General features: G+C 45.8%; 1 long non-coding RNA gene across 2 annotated transcripts in view; it reads left to right on the forward strand.

The window, feature by feature from the left end:
- Window positions 1–4,289: 4,289 nt before the first annotated feature.
- The window catches only part of LOC105369823 (uncharacterized), a 64,494-nt gene continuing 51,136 nt past the window's right edge, over window positions 4,290–17,647 (forward strand). For both annotated transcript variants that reach the window (XR_007063357.1, XR_007063358.1), the window contains exons 1-2: window positions 4,290–4,301; window positions 4,564–4,657. This is a non-coding gene — a long non-coding RNA (uncharacterized LOC105369823). The remainder of the gene's footprint in view (window positions 4,302–4,563; window positions 4,658–17,647) is intronic.

Genomic DNA, 17,647 nt, shown 5'->3' on the forward strand with positions numbered 1-17,647 from the left:
ATGCTGGTAAACATCCTGCATTACATAGGACAGCTGCCGGCAACAAAGCTTATCTGGACCAAAATGTCAGTAGTGCTGAGGTTGAGAACCCCTGGGCCATAATGCCAGCCAGCTGTCTTCCAGGGAAGTGCATCCCCGTCATCATAAAATAAATACAACAACTAGTATTTTATCTTCCTGACTGGAATAAATTTTGTCTTCAGTCTCAGGGAAGGTTTTCTTTCAATTTAATAAAGTGGGGTGGGATCAAATACAACCATACTTCCAAGAATTTCATTTGGCAGCTTTGATATTTCCAGATCTGCTTGACAAGTAAAGAGCTGATAATGTGCAGGCAGCTTTGGGTTGGGACTCATGAAATCTGAGTCAACTATAAGCCTTATAAAAGATGCATGAAGTCTCCTATAAGGCTTTTTGTTTTGTTTTTGTTTGTTTTTTGATGGAGTTGGAGGTGGGGGCTGGTGGATCTTGCAATGCATTTTCCAGTAGAAATAATGCTATAAATTATGGTATTTTACATCAGTCTATAAAAGTTGGTTTAATTCATAGAACAACAGTATGGTGATGGTAGGGTGACTGCAGTCTTACTGACTGCTGTGTGTAAGATGGTTTCTGTGTGGAAACAGATTCTGAGCTGCAGTTCAAGCAACAGGGCCAGTAGCTAGAGGTGGTTTCAGAGGATGGTAGATGCCATCTGGGGCCACCTGGGGCTGTGCATATTGCTGCCTCAGTACAACCAGGGTTCTTCCAGCATGCAAGAAAAGAGAGGTGAGGAAGGAAACCCACAGTGCCTGGCACTGGAATGTATGATGTGTGTGGGTTGGCAGTCAGTTGGATTTGGGATAGAATTTCATTTCTACCATTTCCCAACTGTATGGCCTTGGAGACATTGCTTAACCTCTTTGAAAGTCTTTCTACATTTGTCAAATGGAGATAGTAATGATAACTAAGTTAAACAGAGATAAGTAAATGGAGATGATAATAATAATAATCATGGTAAGGGGCCGGGCGCAGTGGCTCATGCCTGTAATCCTAGCACTTTAGGAGACCGAGGTGGGTGGATCACTTGAGGTCAGGAGTTCAAAACCAGCCTGCCCAGCATGGTGAAACCCCCGTCTCTACTAAAAATACAAAAAATTAGCAGGGCATGGTGGTGCACGCCTGTAATCCCTAGCTACTTGGGAGGCTGAGGCAGGAAAATCGCTTGAACCCGGCGGGTGGAGGTTGCAGTGAGCCAAGATTATGCCGTTGCACAGCAGCTTGGGCAACAGAGCAAGACTCTGTCTTAAAAAATAAAATAAAATCATGGTAAGGATTAAATGACAGTACCTGAAATACAGCTGAAATGGAATACATGTCAGTTTCCTCCTGCCACCCCTCCCAACTTTCTCTGTTGCCAACATAGTCCTTGTCTGGTGTCATCTCACATCTTCAAAGAATGTCAATATTTGCCCAAATCTTTGGTCAGCTCCAGCCATATCCATAAAACTCCTGCCAACTTAGAACCTCCTGGAATCGAGCAACCTCACAACTTTGGGAACCAATGAGCTACCAAGAAGCCTGAGGAGTAGAGAGAGGCTGCTGAACAAGAGCAGAGAAGCTGATCTTGGTGGCTCTGTCATGCTTTCTGATTGTCACGGGCATGGGGAGGTAAGGGGACCTTGGCATAACATAAGGCCTTGACGTTGTCTCTCCTTGGTTGTCACCTCTCATCGCCCCCACACAGCGGGGCTGACTCGAATGAGATGATTTGAAACTGGGCAGGGGACTGACACCGTGAGCTTACTCATCTTTTTCTCTCCTTTTAGGATTTCTTTGATCCAACTCATGTCCAGCAGGCATCATGTCTGAGAAGCAGGGACCCTGGAGGAGTTCAGGACAGACCACCAGCTGGACGTTTCTCTTTGAGCTAGCTATCTGAGACTGTTTCCTCTGAAAGTGTATTTATGTGCCCAGATGATATAAGAGCACTTACATAATTATGTGAGTGGATTCTGTGAGTTGACTGGAGATCTGTGGACATCTGGCTCTGAAACGCCACAAACCAACCTGGACTCCCCAAGGGGCTCAGGGTGAGCTGTGCTTTTCTTTTGTTGGAGAGTTTTTCCTATTTGCATGTGGAGGGAGAAGTGGCATTGGTTCAATATGGTCTGTCTCAGGTGACTTTCAGACAGTAGGGTTCAGTGTGGAGCTTTGCTGAATCCTGCCCTGTTGGAGTCCTACTGATGGGACTGGGAGTGGTATTGCGGGGAGGGTCCTGGACTTGCGCTCTGAAGATCTGCATTTGAATTTTTTAAATTGCTGCGTAACCTTGAGCAAGTAGTTTAACTTCTCATGATCTCCTCCCATCATCTGGAAACAAGAGAGTCAGACCAGATCACCCCAAAGGATCATAACAGGCTTGGCAGCACGGACTTCCCACTGGGTGACTCTGATGTCACTGAACATGTGTATCGCTCTGCTGCAAATGTAGGTTAACGGTGGGGCAAGTGAGGTGGGATCATGCTTGAGAAAAACATTGTTTTAATTTTAGTTAAATGCTGGGCCACAAAACTAAAATTGGCAAAGACCTTTCTTTTTGTTTTTTTAGACAGGGTTTCACTCTATCGCCCAGGCTGGAGTGCAGTGGTGTGATCTCAGCATACTGCAGTCTTAGCTTTCCAGGCTCAAGCAACCCTCCTGCCTCAGCCTCCTGAGTAGCTGGGACTACAGGCATGCACCACCATGTCCAGGCAATTTTTGTATTCTTTGTAGAGACAGGGTTTTGCCATGTTGCCCATGGCAGGTTTTGAACTCCTGGGCTCAAGTGATCCACCTGCCTCAGCCTTCCAAAGTGCTGGGATTACAGACTTGAGCCACGGTGTCTGGCCAGGCAAAGACCTTGGCCCAGCCACCCTTTTGTGTAATGGCCAAGATGCTCAGAGGGGCCAGCATGACAAATGGAAGGAGGAAGCATGGGCTTTGTAGTCAGAAAAATTTGAGTCGTACTATCAGCTCTGCCACTGACAAGGAAAAATTGTTTACCTTCTCTGAGCCTCAATTCTGCAAAACTGGAATAAGAACACCCACTGCATAAGGTTTTCCTGAGGTTAAAAAATGATAATGTGTTTAAATATTTTGCACATGGAAGGTGCTTGAAAACTGGTTTGTATGATTATCCTTTTCTTATTCATGTTATAATCAGGTATTGGGCTGTGACTATTCCAGGGTGTACTGATAAATGCTCAAGTGAGTTAAGCCTGAGCAAGCTCTGGTACTGATTCCTCACTTCCTGGGTCCTGTCTGGCCCCCTGGTTTGCTGTCAGGAAGACCTAAAGCTGGCTGGGCCGACTGTATACCCTCCTGGTTCACTGTCCCCTCCTTCAACTCTTCCTCCTACCATAATATATAACACGTAACACATAAAGTAGTCCTATGGTCTGTAATGTAGATATTTACTTCCTTACAAAGCAAAGACAGCTTTTTATTGACCTTGAATGGCGTTCTTTGAAATGTTGGCAAGATGCTATTGTTTGAGCAGTACCTCACCATGTCTCATGTCCCCTTTTCCAGGGCATAAAGTATTATTCCACTGGGTTCCCACCAAGCGGGGAATCAACTAGCATTCAATAAACCTAGTTACATGCCTTGAAAGGTGGTTCATAAACCTGCAGAAAACCCTAAATCAGGCAGACGAGTGGAAGTGGCTTGGTTGTCACTGACTATGTATGTCTTAAGACCAAGTCGGCTTGCTCCTTCATCAGAAGCACAGCCCTGGAAAGTGCGTTTCACTAAAAATAGGGCAGTTGGAGGCATGACTGCACCAGCAGATAGTTTTCGCAGCAGCTTTTGGGGCAGGCTGACTGATAAAGCTTTCTGCTCTGGGTGCTCCAGATTACTCACAGCTGTTTCCAGACCAAAGCGCCCTGGGGAGGCTGGCATCACGCCACGCGTCAGGTGCTTGTTATCAAACACTGCGCGTGAGGCCAGAGTCGGCCTAATCAGCCTCCAAGCCTTGCCTGGATGGAATGGATCAGGGAGGGCTGGCGACCTGTTCTGTCACTGTATTCTTTTTTTTAAGACGGAGTTTCGCTCTTGTTGCCCAAGCTGGAGTGCAGTGGCTCGATCTCGGATCACTGCAACCTCCACTACCCTCCTGCCTCAGCCTCCCGAGTAGCTGGGATTACAGGTATGCACCATCATGCCCCGCTAATTTTTGTATTTTTAGTAGAGACAGGGTTTCACCATGTAGGCCAGGATGGTCTTGATCTCTTGACCTTGTGATTCACCCACCTTGGCCTCCCAAAGTGCTGGGATTACAGGTGTGAGCCATCGTGCTCGGCCTCTGTCACTGTATTCTAAAACCCAGCAGTTTCCTTTACGTGTGTGTGTGTGTGTGTGTGTGTGTGTGTGTGTGTATAACTTCTAAAAAAAAGTTGGATTTTTCCTTCCATTGCAAGTTGAGGGTAGTATAGCATAGTGGTTAATGGGTATGCTTCAGAGCCAGACTTCCTGGGTTTGAAGCCTGTTCTCTTTTGTTTGTTTTAAATTAACAAACATAATTCTATTTTTTTTCTTTTGTAGAGGTGAGGGTCTCACTACATTGTCCAGCCTAGTCTTGAACTCCTGGCCTCAAGAACCGTCTCACCTTGGACTCCTAAAACTGCTGGGATTACAGGTATGAGCCACCACACCCGGCCTCAAACTTAATTCTTTTAGAGTAGTTTTAGGTTCACAGCAAATTGAGCAGAAAGTGCAGAGAGTTCCTATATACCCCTTGTCTCCTCCCCTGCTATTCCCCTCCAGATAATATTTCTTACAGCTGATGAACCCATATTGACATGTCGTTATCACTCAAAGTCCATAGTTTACATTAGGGTTCACTCTTGGTGTTGTAGATTCTATGGCTTTTGACAAATGTATAATATGTTTCCCTCGTTGTGGTATCATACGGAGTATTTTCACTGCCCTAAAAATCCTCTGTGCTCTGCCTATTCATCCATCCCTCCCCCCGGAAACCACTGATCTTTTTACTGTCTCCATAGTTTTGCCTTTTCCACAATATCATACAATTGGAATCATACAGTATGTAGCCTTTTCGGATCAGCTTCTTTCACTTAGTAAAATGCATATAAGTTATCTTTATGTGTTTTCATGGCTTGATAACTCATTTCTTTCTAGAACTAAATGAGATTCCATTGTCCGAATATACCACAGTGATTTGTTCATTCACCCACTGAAGGATATCTTGGTTGCTTCTAAGTTTTGGCAATTATGAATAAAGCTGCTATGAACATCTGTGCAGGTTTTTGTGCGGACATAAATTTGCAATTCATCTGGATGAATAACAAGAAGCGTGATTGCTGGATCATAGGGTAAGAGTAGGTTTAGTTTTGTAAGAAACTGCCAGGCTGTCTTCCAAAGTAGCTGCACCATTTTGGTTTCCCACCAGCAATAAATAAAAGCCACGGTTGCTCCATGTCCTCCAGCGCGCTTGATGTTGTCAGTGTTTGGGGTTTTTGGAGCCTGTTTTTGCTACTTCTTAGCTTTTGATGACTTGAGGCAAGTCATTAAACCTCTCTGCCTTGGCTTCTTAGTTTGTGAAGCACAAAACAGTAGGACCTCCATGACTGGGTTGATGTGAGGGTTAAATAAAGAGATTCATGGAAGGCATGAGGAATAGGGCTGGCGCCTGCATGTAGACTCAATAAACATTAGCTATGATGTTTGGATTAGGTTGGATTTCTGTCCTAAGAAACAGCTGAGATTCTTGAGCGCAAAACAGTGTTTAGGCTGCGGGATGGATTCCACGAAGCTCTTTCCTTCTTTCTTTCTTTCTTTTTTTTTGAGATGGAGTCTCGCTCCATTGCCCAGGCTGGAGTGCAGTGGCATGATCTCGGCTCACTGCAACCTCCGCCTCCCAGGTTCCAGCGATTCTCCTGCCTCAGTCCCTGGAGTAGCTGAGACTACAGGCATGCGCCATCAGGCTCGGCTAATTTTTGTATTTTCAGTAGAGATGGGGTTTCGCCATGTTGGCCAGGCTGGTCTCAAACTCCTGACCTCAGGTGATCCACCCACCTCAGCCTCCCAAAGTGCTGGGATTACTGGAATGAGCCACAACGCCTGGCCCACGAAGTTATTTCTAATAATAACATGCCATCACCATGCTGAGGGATATAATCTCATTTGAACAACACCACTAGGTGACAAGGTAGACACACAAATTGTCTCCACTGTCAGATGAAGAAATAGGAGGGTGACACCTGGAGCAGGAGGCTCCCAGGACCCCTTGTCAGCACCATGGCTGTCCTCCTGTTGCTCCGGTCTGAGCGTTTACATAATTTGGTCTTACCCCTGGTAAAGTTCTTCCTGTGTCCTTGGGAAATAGGACAGGGAAGAGGGGAGAGCGGCGGGGGGAGCAGGAGGGTCTTCAGGCAGTCTCCCTCTCCGCCTGGTGCCTGAATAGTGCTGAGAGGATGCAGGGGTCTGCACATTCCAGATGAAGGATGTGCTGTTTCCACGCCCAGCTACCCACTGCACAGACAACGCTCCATGGCTTCCTTCATGAGCTGTCTATATGGAGAAAGTTTCTAGAACAACAGCCACCATTTGTTGAACCCCCACTACATGCTCGGTACCCAGGAAAATGCCCGTTTAACCCTCCTAGCCACTCTGTGAGGTATGAATGATTATTAGCCTCATTTTCAGATAAGGAAGCAGGTCAGAGAGGTTAAGTAGTGCCCAGGCCCAGAGTGAGTAAGTGGCAGACTTGGGAGCCTGACCTGGAAGCCACAGCCTCACAGGGACTATGCCCAGTGGGGAATGTCTTGGTACTGCAAGAAGAAGACTCAGAAGCTTCTGACGAATGAGTAAGGGGGCCACTTTTTAGGAAACTGCAGAAAAAGGAAAAAAAAAATTGTGGAGAGATCTGCTACATAGCCATGTTCCTCTGGCATCCAGAACAAAAGGATCCCAAGCCCCATGGATGTCTGCCCTGGGGCTCATGCCCTGGGGCTTACCAGGCTTGGAGCCTGGGTCACTTTCTGTTTGGAAGTGAGGCAGCCACAAGGCCCCTCTTGTTCCCTCTGGGACACCTGCCCTGAATATAGTGCATTCAGATGGACCCCGTGACCTGTCCTGAGGTTTCACGTCCACACTCAGTCTCCTGGCTCTGTGGGAGGAGCGCTAGGCCAGGCTGGGATGAGACAGAGCTCCTGCCATGGAAGTCTGGCACAGACTGTCCTGGATGTCCAAGCAATACCTATTGCCTTGTGATATGGTTTGGATCTGTGTCCCTGCCCATATCTCACATGGAATTGTAATCGCCGATGCTGGGGGTGGGGTCTGGTGGAAGCGATTGTATCATGGGGGCAGATTGCCCCCTTGGTGCTATTCTCATGATAGTGAGTGAGTTCTATCTAGATCTGTTTGTTTTAAAGTGTGTGGCGCCTCCCCGCCCCCACTCCTGCCCCTGCCATGTAAAGATATGCCTGCTCCCCCTTTGCCTTCCACCATGATCGTAAGTTTCTTGAGGCCTCCCCAGAAGGAGAAGCCACTGTGCTTCCTGTACAGCTTGCAGAATCGTGAGCCAATTAAACCTCTTTTCTTATAAAGTACCGAGTCTCAGGTATTTCTTTATAGGAATGAGAGAATGGACAAATACACCTTGACTCAAAACTGTGGAAATCACATTTAAGAATAGAAAGTGCTTGAAAAAAGATCTTTAAAAATATTATTCAATGGACAGCTTGGGCAACATGGCAAAACCCCATCTCTACCAAAAAATAAAAAAATTAGCTAGGCATGGTGGTGCACACCTGAGGTCTCAGCTACTCCAGAGGCTGGGGTGGGAGGATCACTTAAGCCCAGGAGGCAGGGTTTGCAGTAAGCTGTGATCATGCCACTGCACTCCAGCCTGGGTGACAGAGTGATAATCTGTCTCAAAAAAAAAAAAAATTCAATAGAGAATTTATATTATACCTTATATATATATATTAATTTAGGTTATACCTTGATTACAGTTATGAAAAAAAGATGAAAGGAGAAAGAAAAAGATTGGAAGGAAGCATGTTCAAATGATAACCGGTGATTTCTTTTTCTTTCCATTTTTTCCAAAACACGTGACACATTTACTTTACAATGCAAAACATATATTTAAAATTTTTCCCTTTTCCTCTTGGACAGCTTATGTCCATCTCAAGGAGTTAGAAGGAGATTAGATAACCAGGAAGAGACCAATCTTTTCTATAAATTTCCTTCTTTGTAAAATGGGGGAAACAGTAGAAGAACAGTATAACTTTATAGGATTAGTCTGAGCATTAAATGGGACAATCTGGGTAAAATTTTTATTGCAAGTCTAGCACATGGTAAATGGTCTGTGTTAGTGATTAGCAGCATCACCATCACCTTCATCATTAGTGTTAGACCATCAGGACACTCCTGGACTTGGGAGTTCACCATTCCACTAGACATCACAGTTCCAATATTGTGTGCCTGTGGCATGTGAAGAGGAAGCAGAAATGCCACTTCCTAGTTGGCTGATCTGTGAGTTTCTAGCCATGAGCTGAGAGAGAAATCAGCCTTAGAGTTGGAAGTGGTGAACTTTCTGTAGCGATAGTAGAAGCTGACCTTGTCACTCCCAGGAATGCACCTGCCACTCAAATCAAACCTCCCTGTGAGCAAGGAGGGCAGGCATTCTTCCTTCAGTACAGCACCAGGAATCTCCTGGGGACAGGGGGAGGAGAGATGGGGCAGGTCAGAAAGCCTGCTGTCTCTGCATGGAAAGGGGGTGGAATTCTGGACCTAGCCAAGGTTAAGTTCCTAGCCAAGTTCATCCAGTAACATGACTTCTTTCTTTTGGTTGATAGCTCCACTATCTCTATCTAGCCCTCACCTTTCCTCTAAGACTTGTTTTATATACAGTTGTCTATTCGACATCTCTACTTGGATGGGGTTTAATATACCCCAAATAATACTCTATTCTTTTTTTATTAGCACGCCCTCAACCTACAAGTCTTCCTCTCCTTTCCATCTCACAGAATAGCACCACAAACTACCTACTTGCTTGAGGGAAAATTTAGGAGTCACCTTCAATTCCTCCTTTCTTCAACCATATCCAGTTCATCAAATGGCTCTGATATATATCCTGAATAATCTCCTCACCCCTGCTCCCCCACTCCCTACCTCCAGAGCCATAGTCCAGTCCAAGCCACTAACACCTTTCCAAACCATTCTTCACACAGCAATCAGAGTGCTGCACAAACAAGGTAAATCAGGTCATAGAAACTGGCATAAGAACTCCAATGGCTTCGTACTGCCCCTGGAATAAAACCCGAACTCCCTACTCTGAACGCCAAGGCCTGTGTGATCTCACTTCCATCCACCTCCCCAAGGCTTTGATTCAAACGCACTCACATCTATTTGTCAGACGCACGGAGCGCTTGCCCACAGCAGGGCCTCACTGCTCCTTCCATCTGGTATACCCTTCCGATGGCTAACCCTTTTTATACTCAACTATCAGGTCAAATGGCAGCTCCTCAGAAGGCCTTCCCTGGCCTTCCAAAGCCCCCATCACATCTGAGTAAGACACCCCTCTGTCCCTAATGGTGACTACCACATTGCTCTGTTGATTTTCCTTATACCCCTCATTACACTGTGAAATTATCTTGTTCACTCATTTACCAGGTTTTGGCTGTTTCCCCCAAATGGGGATAAATGCCACAAAAGAAGGGTGTTGTCAGTCATGTGCATCATTGCATGTCTTGCTCCTGGAACAGCATGTGGGACATACTGGTTGCCAAATGTGAAAGGGAGGCAGGAGCAGATGATTTGTGTACAGGTATGTGGGGCCCGGTTCGGGGATCCAGGCGGAGTTGAGTATGATGCCTGATAGGATTGTCATGCCCAGTTGTTGCAGTTTAGATGCCAAAACCTCCACCCGAGGTGAACTCTGAAACTTCCCCGATAGCCCTACTGCAGTGCGTGGGCTTCTTCCTTCCTGGGCTGTTTTCTCACCTTTGTTACAAACAGCTTGGCAATACTAGCATGATGGAATAAGGGTTGAGAGAATCATCTTTGAGCTGGATGACCTTTGTCCTGGCACAACTGGATGGTGTTTGATCTGATGTACCCAGCACTGTCAGCAGGGGGATCCACTTCCTATCCCATCTTCACAAGGTGAAGGATCAGGAATCGGTGAAGAAACCAAGTTTTCTTTCTCATGAACAGGAGAAACGTAGGCTTTTAATATCAAATGAATGTGTGAACCCGGATTATCTGAGACAGGTCTCAGTCAGTTTAGGAAGTTTATTTTGCCAAAGTTAAAGACACATGCCAGTGACACAGCCTCAGGAGGTCCTGACGACGTGTGTCCAAGGTGGTCCGAGCACAGCTTGGTTTTGCACACACACTTTAGGGAGACATGAGACATCAATCAATATATGTAAGATGAACATTGATTCAGTCCGGAAAGGCCGGACCATTGGAAGCAGAGGCGGGGCAACTCAAAGTGGGGAGGGGGCTTCCAGGCCATAGATAGATAAGGGACAAAAAGTTGCATTCTTTTGAGTTTTTTTGTTTGTTTGCTTTAATTGAGTCAGGGTCTCACTCTGTCACCCACACTGGGGTGCAGTGGCGCCATCTCAGCACTGCAACTTTTGCCTCCCGGGTTCAAGTGATTCTCCTGCCTCAGCCTCCCAAGTAGCTGGGACTAGAGGCGCCTGCTACCATGCCCAGCTAATTTTTGTATTTTCAGTAGAGACAGGGTTTCACCACCTTGGCCAGGCTGGTCTCGAACTCCTGACCTCAAGTCATCTGATGTACCCAGCACTGTCAGTGGGGGGATCCACTTCCTATCCCACCTAGGTCTCCCAAAGTGTTAGGATTACAGGTGTGAGCCATGGAGCTTGGCCTCTTTTGAGTTTTTGATTAGCCTCTCCAATCAGATATGCATTTACCTCAGTGAGCAGAGGGATGACTTTGAATAGAATGGGAGGCAGGTTTGCCCTAAGCAGTTTCCAGCTTGACTTCTCCCTTTGGCTTAGTGATTTTGGGGCTCTAAGATTTATTTTCCTTTCACAAATGGATCTGATGACTGGAAAATGGTTCCCCTGACTCAGAGCCTCTGCTCTGACCTAGAGCACTATCTCCTTTATCTAGAACACTCTTTCTCATATACCGCGTGACTTCCTATCCCATCTTTTATATGATTGCTCAAACATCCCATTCTTCATGAGGTCCTCCTCAGCTACTTTTACAAAAATTCTTTGCTCACTTTCACCCAGCCTGCTTAGTTTTTCTCCAGAGCACTATCACCATCTACCAAGCTATAGACTTTATTGAGTGATGTGTTTATTGTCCCCCACCCTCCAGTGTAAGCTCCATCAGTGAGGAGACTTTGTTTCTTTGGTTCCCTGTGTATCTCCAGCATTCAGACCAATGCTCACCACATCACATGTGCTCACTACATATCTGCTGGATGAAATAAAATCTAGGTATCAGAATCACAGGTTCATGGCGTGGGAGGATTTCTGGGCTAAGGCATCCTAATAAGAAATGGCATCAAGCCTGAGATGTCACTGAAAATGAAGTTTAAAACAAAAAAACCAAAGCACTGAAGCTAAGTACGTGTCCCAGGGCTACAAAATTATACATCTCTTAGATTTAATGGAGCCACAAACCAAGGTACTTAGAATGAAAAAGATTTCCTTCCTTCCTTCCTCCTTCCTTCCCTCCCCCTCCCCCTTCCTTCCTTCCTACTTTCTTTCTTCCCCTTCCTTCCTTCCTTCCTTCCTTCCTTCCTTCCTTCCTTCCTTCCTTCCTTCCTTCCTTCCTTCTTTCTTTCTTTCTTTCTTTCTTTCTTTCTTTCTTTCTTTCTTTCTTTCTTTCTTTCTTTCCTTTTTCTTTTTTTGATGGAGTCTCGCTCTGTCGCCCAGGCTGGAGTGCAGTGGCGCCATCTCGGTTCACTGCAAGCTCTGCCTCCAGGGTTCACGCCATTCTCCTGCCTCAGCCTCCTGAGTAGCTGGGACTACAGGCGCCCGCCATCACACCCGGCTAATTTTTTGTATTTTTAGTAGAGATGGGGTTTCACTGTGTTGGCCAGGATGGTCTCGATCTCCTGACCTTGTGATCTACCCGCCTCGGCCTCCCAAAGTGCTGGGATTACAGGCGTGAGCCACCACTCCTGGTCTCTCTCTCTCTCTCTCTCTCTTTCTTTCTTGTTTTTCTGAGACAGAGTCTTGCTCTTGTTACCCAGGCTGGAGTACAATGGCACAATCTCAGCGCATTGCAACCTCTGCCTCCCGGGTTCAAACAATTCTCCTGCCTCAGCCTGCTGAGTAGCTGGGATTACAGATGCGCACCACCACGCCTGGCTAATTTTTATATTTTTAGTAGAGACGGGGTTTCACCATTTTGGCCAGGCTGGTCTCGAACTCCTGACCTCGTGATCACCTGCCTTGGCCTCCCAAAGTGCTGGGATTATAGGCATGAGCCACCGCACCTGGCTAAGATTTGTATTTTAGAAAGAATTTTACTTATTTTGTAATTGATAGTTGGTATGGATTGAGTATTTGTGCTCCCTTGAAAGCCCTATGTTAAAGCCCTGATCCCCAGTGTGATGGTATTTGGAGGTGAGGTCTTTGGAGATAATTAGGGTTAGATTAGGTCAGGAGGGTGGGGCCTTCATGATGTCCTCATTAAAAGACTACAAGACAGGAGACCATGTGAGGATACAGCTAGATGTCTACAAGCCGGGAAGCAGGCCCTCACCAGATGTCAAATTTTTCAGTACCTTGATTTTGGGCTTTCCAGCCTCCAGAACTGTGAGAAATAAATTTCTGTTGTGTATAAGCCACCCAGTCTATGGTACTTTGTTATGGCAGCCCAATTGACTAAGATACTGGAGTGGTATTATAGAACAGTGTTATAACCTCCTTGAATTGCAGTGCTAGTTGGAGGACTAAACTCTAGGAGGCAGTGTTGCATATTCTGAAGAAATTGTTCTTTCTAACTCTCCTAAGAACACACAGTGTGACCTTAGACCAGCCACTTTCCAGCCTTGAGCCTTCGAGTCCTCATCCGTGATGGGAAGGAAATAGATTGGACATACTTTAAGTTTCTCAGTCAATGCTAACATCTGTAATCAATTCAGTGTGCAAGATGATGTTAATTTGCCTAGATCTTTTTTCATCTAATATTCACCTTTATGTTTATTTACCCAATGTCCTCACTGTTGGTGCAGAGTAAATTCTATCTGGAACCACTGCTTAGGATTGCTGTCTCAGTGGAAAATAATATCTTTCTTTCTCCAGATGTCATTGTTTTCCTCTTTTTAATTCCTTACCTTTCCTACAATCCAGAATTGTAAGAAAACAAATATTAGAATAATATTTGACCAAATATCTGGGCATTATGGCCCAGCCAAGTCGACACATAAAATTAGCCATCACATAGTACCGACTACTTATGCTTTGCTTTTCTAAAAGTGTTCTATATGCTTTATCTAAGTGTTCTATATGCTTGATATAAGAAATGCTGAGGCCTGGAGGGATTGAAATGGCTTGTCCAAGGTCACACAATAAGTGGCACCATGGGACAAAACCCCAGGTCCTGTTATTCTGCATCCCATGCTCTTTCTCCCTCATCCTGCTGCTTCTCCAGAGTTGGCAGTTACCAGGAGCATGTCATTCATGGTGATTTGTACCTGGCTGTGAAAGGCCCTCTGGATCAGAGGCACAATCACTGACAGTCTGATTTGGAATCCTTGGTCTTGTGACACAAAACACAATCAGCCCTAGCTCGGATGGACGGTTTTGAGAAGGTGTGAGTTTTTCCTTTTGCTTTGCTTTTTTTTCATTGTTGCAAGCAATTTGGCTTCCTGATGTCTATTTTTTCATTTCTCAGCCATGACAAAGGCCATGGTGATGAGTTGCTTCTGTGAGGTATTGACCATCCCTTGTACTCGGGATCAATTCACTGGGTCCAGCTCACAGAAAGACGTTACAGACAGATTACTGGCAATAAATGTGAACAAAGCCACAATGATGGAAATACATCTAAGTTTCTCCTGGGCTCTTTTGCTTTATTTACCTATTGACTTTTCAGCACCATGTCTTTCAGATGTGTCTAGGAAATGCCTCGTATATCTCCTTACTAGCATTAGTCACAACTATCAGCTGACAATGAATTTTGTCCTAGGTTGTTGGGAGTTGCCATGATGCTTAAGGACTCTATGGAATAAAAGAGGGAGAGTATCTTTGGAAGTTTAATTTGGTTGACCTGGGAGGACGTCTTAGGAGTAAAATAAGATCCACATTAGCACATGATAAAATGGCCCTATTGTTCTGTGGAGCGTTTTTTTCTTTTTTTCTTCTTTTTTTTTTTTTTTTTGAGATGGAGTCTCACTCTGTTGCCCAGGCTGGAGTGCACTGGCATGATCTCGGCTCACTGCAACCTCCACCTCCTGGGTTCAAGCAATTCTCCTGCCTCAGCCTCCTGAGTAGCTGGGACTACAAGCACAAGCCACTATGCCTGGCTAATTTTTGTATTTTCAGTAGAGATGGGGGTTTCACCATGCTGGCCAGGCTGGTCTTGGACTCCTGACCTCAGGTGATCCTCCTGCCTTGGCCTCCCAAAGTGCTGGGATTACAGGTGTGAGCCACTGTGCCTGGCCTGGAGCAGTTTTTTCCTTGGGAAGCCAAATGGTAGTAGAGTTAGTTTCAACTAAACCCTGCCTTTGGTTCAGTGGGAGCCAGTAACATTGAAACATGTGATGTCTGGGCCTTGGCAACCATCAAGACAAAATTCAATTTGCCCTAGAATTTTCACACTCAGGGGAAACACACATGCGCACATACACACACATCAAAAGAAAGTTTGCCAAAGGTTCGGGGTAGCAGGAGGGACAAGGGGAAAAGCTTTCATTTAAGAACAGTCATGAATGGTTAGCATATGAAAGGTATCACACCAGGTCCTGGGCCTGCAGCCTCTGTAGCCTCACAGAGCTCATGGTCTCCAAAAGGCAAATTCAACAAATATTTATTAAGGTCCTACTGTGTGTTAGACACGGAATGAAATGTCCCATCCTATTTGGTGCCATCACAGAACTTCAGTCCAATAGGGCATAGGTGCTGTGATAGGGGAGACAGAGGATATGGAATTCTGTAGCCTGCCCTGGCCTGGAAAGCATGGGAAAGCTTTCTAGATAAAGTGACATCAGAGCCGCCCTCTTAAGGATGTGTAGAAGTCAACCAAATGGAGGCCATTTTTGGGCATGGTGGTTTCATTCAGGAGAAAAACAAACGTTTTGGTTGGAAGAGATACGAGGCCATTGGTAGAACTGAAATACAGGCAGATAGGCTGGAAAAGGCGAGTACAAAGCGAGGCTGGGGAATGGCTGGGGCAGGAGGAGGGGAGTGGTGAGAGGTGAGGCTGAGGAGGGGACCAGGGGCCAGAGCTGGGGTGCCTTGTATGCCATATTGAGGAATTTGGGCTTCGCTTTTAGTCTTTTGAAAGATTTTAAGATTTTTAAAAATTATGAATGAAACAATGAGGCCTGAGGCTTTGAAAGTTCACTCTGTCTGCAATTTGCTGTGATATGTCCTTTAATATAGATTGCCCAATTGCCCAGAGAGTACTTCTAGAGCATACTCGAGGATGCAGAAGCAAGGTAAAGGGATGTGGGGACAGGCGGGGCTGTGTCTGTTGCCATCAGCAGCTCTGGGCTCCCTCTTGGGAACTCTGTGGCACTCCTGGTACCTTCTCTGATGTCTCTGTCATCCATGATAGTCGTATGCTCCTGGCCTTCAGGGTGGAGGCTGTCACCGCCCTCTCTGTGATTTTGATCACAGTTTACGTCTGGCTTGCCGCCCCGAATCTTTGGCAAACTTTCTTTTGATGTGTGTATGTGCGCGTGCATGTTTTCCCTGAGTGTGAATATTCGAGGGCAAATTGAATTTTGTCTTGATGGTTGTCAAGCCACTGCAGATTCAGATACTTCCCTCACTGCTGGCTTCTCTACAAATCCAGCAGCTTCTGTCTTGGTGCCTGCCAACACCCAGTGAAGCAGTGAAGAGGCAAGTCCAGAGCCTCAGTGAGGAGACTCAGCTCAAAGATGAAAAGCACACTCCTGTTCTCTCCCTGTTCTATTTGTTACTGGCAAAGTCTTACTTGCTGGGGTAGTAACAGAAACTTGCTGCCTGGAGACTGACAGGCTTGAATGCTGGTTCTGCTGCCTGATAGCTATGTGGCTTTGAGAAGGCAATGTGAACCTTCCTGAACCTCAGACCTTTTTTTTTTTTTTTTTTTTTTGAGACAGTCTCGCTCTATCACCCAGGCTGGAGTGCAGTGGTGCAATCTTGGCTCACTGCAAGCTCCACCTTCTGGGTTCACGCCATTCTCCTGCCTCAGCCTCCTGAGTAGCTGGGACTAAAGGTGCACGCCACCACACACGGCTAATTTTTTGTATTTTTAATACAGACGGGGTTTCACCATGTTAGCCAGGATGGTCTCGATCTCTTGACCTTGTGATCCGCTTGCCTTGGCCTCCCAAAGTGCTGGGATTACAGGCGTGAGCCACCGCGCCCGGCCCCCTCAGACTTTCATCTGTAAATAATGACTGACACTGCATGGTTGCTGTGAGACTAGTAGGTGCACCATAAATAGGTCAAAGAAAACAACAGGATCAAAGGCAAAGCTGTCGCTGGTAGTGACCTTGAGGAGAAAATAAGTTGGCATCTCTGTCTTTATTTGATGATTTCTTCTTATAATAACACTTTCAATATTTTAATTAAATTTCATTTTTTCAACTATTGTCCAGATATTTTTGCCTTGGAGTTTTTAAAGTGTAGGCTGGAGTACAGTGGTGTGATCTTGGCTCACTACAACCTCCACCTCCCAGGTTCAAGAGATTCTTGTCCCTCAGCCTCCTGAGTAGCTGGGATTACAGGCGTGCACCACCAGGCCTAGCTACCTCTTGTATTTTCAGTAGAGATGGGGTTTCACCATGTTGGCTAGTTGACCTCAAATGATCTGCCCACCTTGGCCTCCCAAAGTGCTGGGATTACAGGTGTGAGCCACTACACCCGGTCAAGAGTGTCGAATGTTGATTGACAACAGTAAGCCTAAGGTTAGTCCTTGGAATTGTCATTGTTGCTCAGAGACCTTGTGATTATGGTACTGGCAGTAACGGGATCTGGAATATTACTAAACGGTAATATGGGAGAGAGGGCTGATACTATGAAGAGGTCCTGAGATAAAATTCTAGGATATGTTGTTGTATTAGTTAGGATACCAGCTGAAATGCTATAACAAAGGGACCCCCAAATCCAGTGTCACACAAGTCATGAAACAGGTCCAGGGTCAGGGGGTGGCTCCTGTCATCCTCAACACGTGGCTTCCAAGATCGCTCCAGTCACCCATCTCTCAGACAGCAGGAATGCAGAAAGGGAGCGCCACAGCTTCTCCTTCCAGGAGATGATCTGCAAATTGCACCTGTCATGCTTTGCTCACATTCTATTGCCCAAATGTAGTCACTTGTGATCCATAGAATGGATACTGGGAGACAATTAGTAGACTTTGCTACAGGTAGCCAATAGCCCAGCCTGCAGAGTCACGTCAGATATGAAATCCCAAAGTTCCTCCTGACTATTGGCAACAACAATCACTAACT

Source organism: Homo sapiens, chromosome 12 (assembly GCF_000001405.40).
Source record: "Homo sapiens chromosome 12, GRCh38.p14 Primary Assembly".
Taxonomy (NCBI): domain Eukaryota; kingdom Metazoa; phylum Chordata; class Mammalia; order Primates; family Hominidae; genus Homo; species Homo sapiens.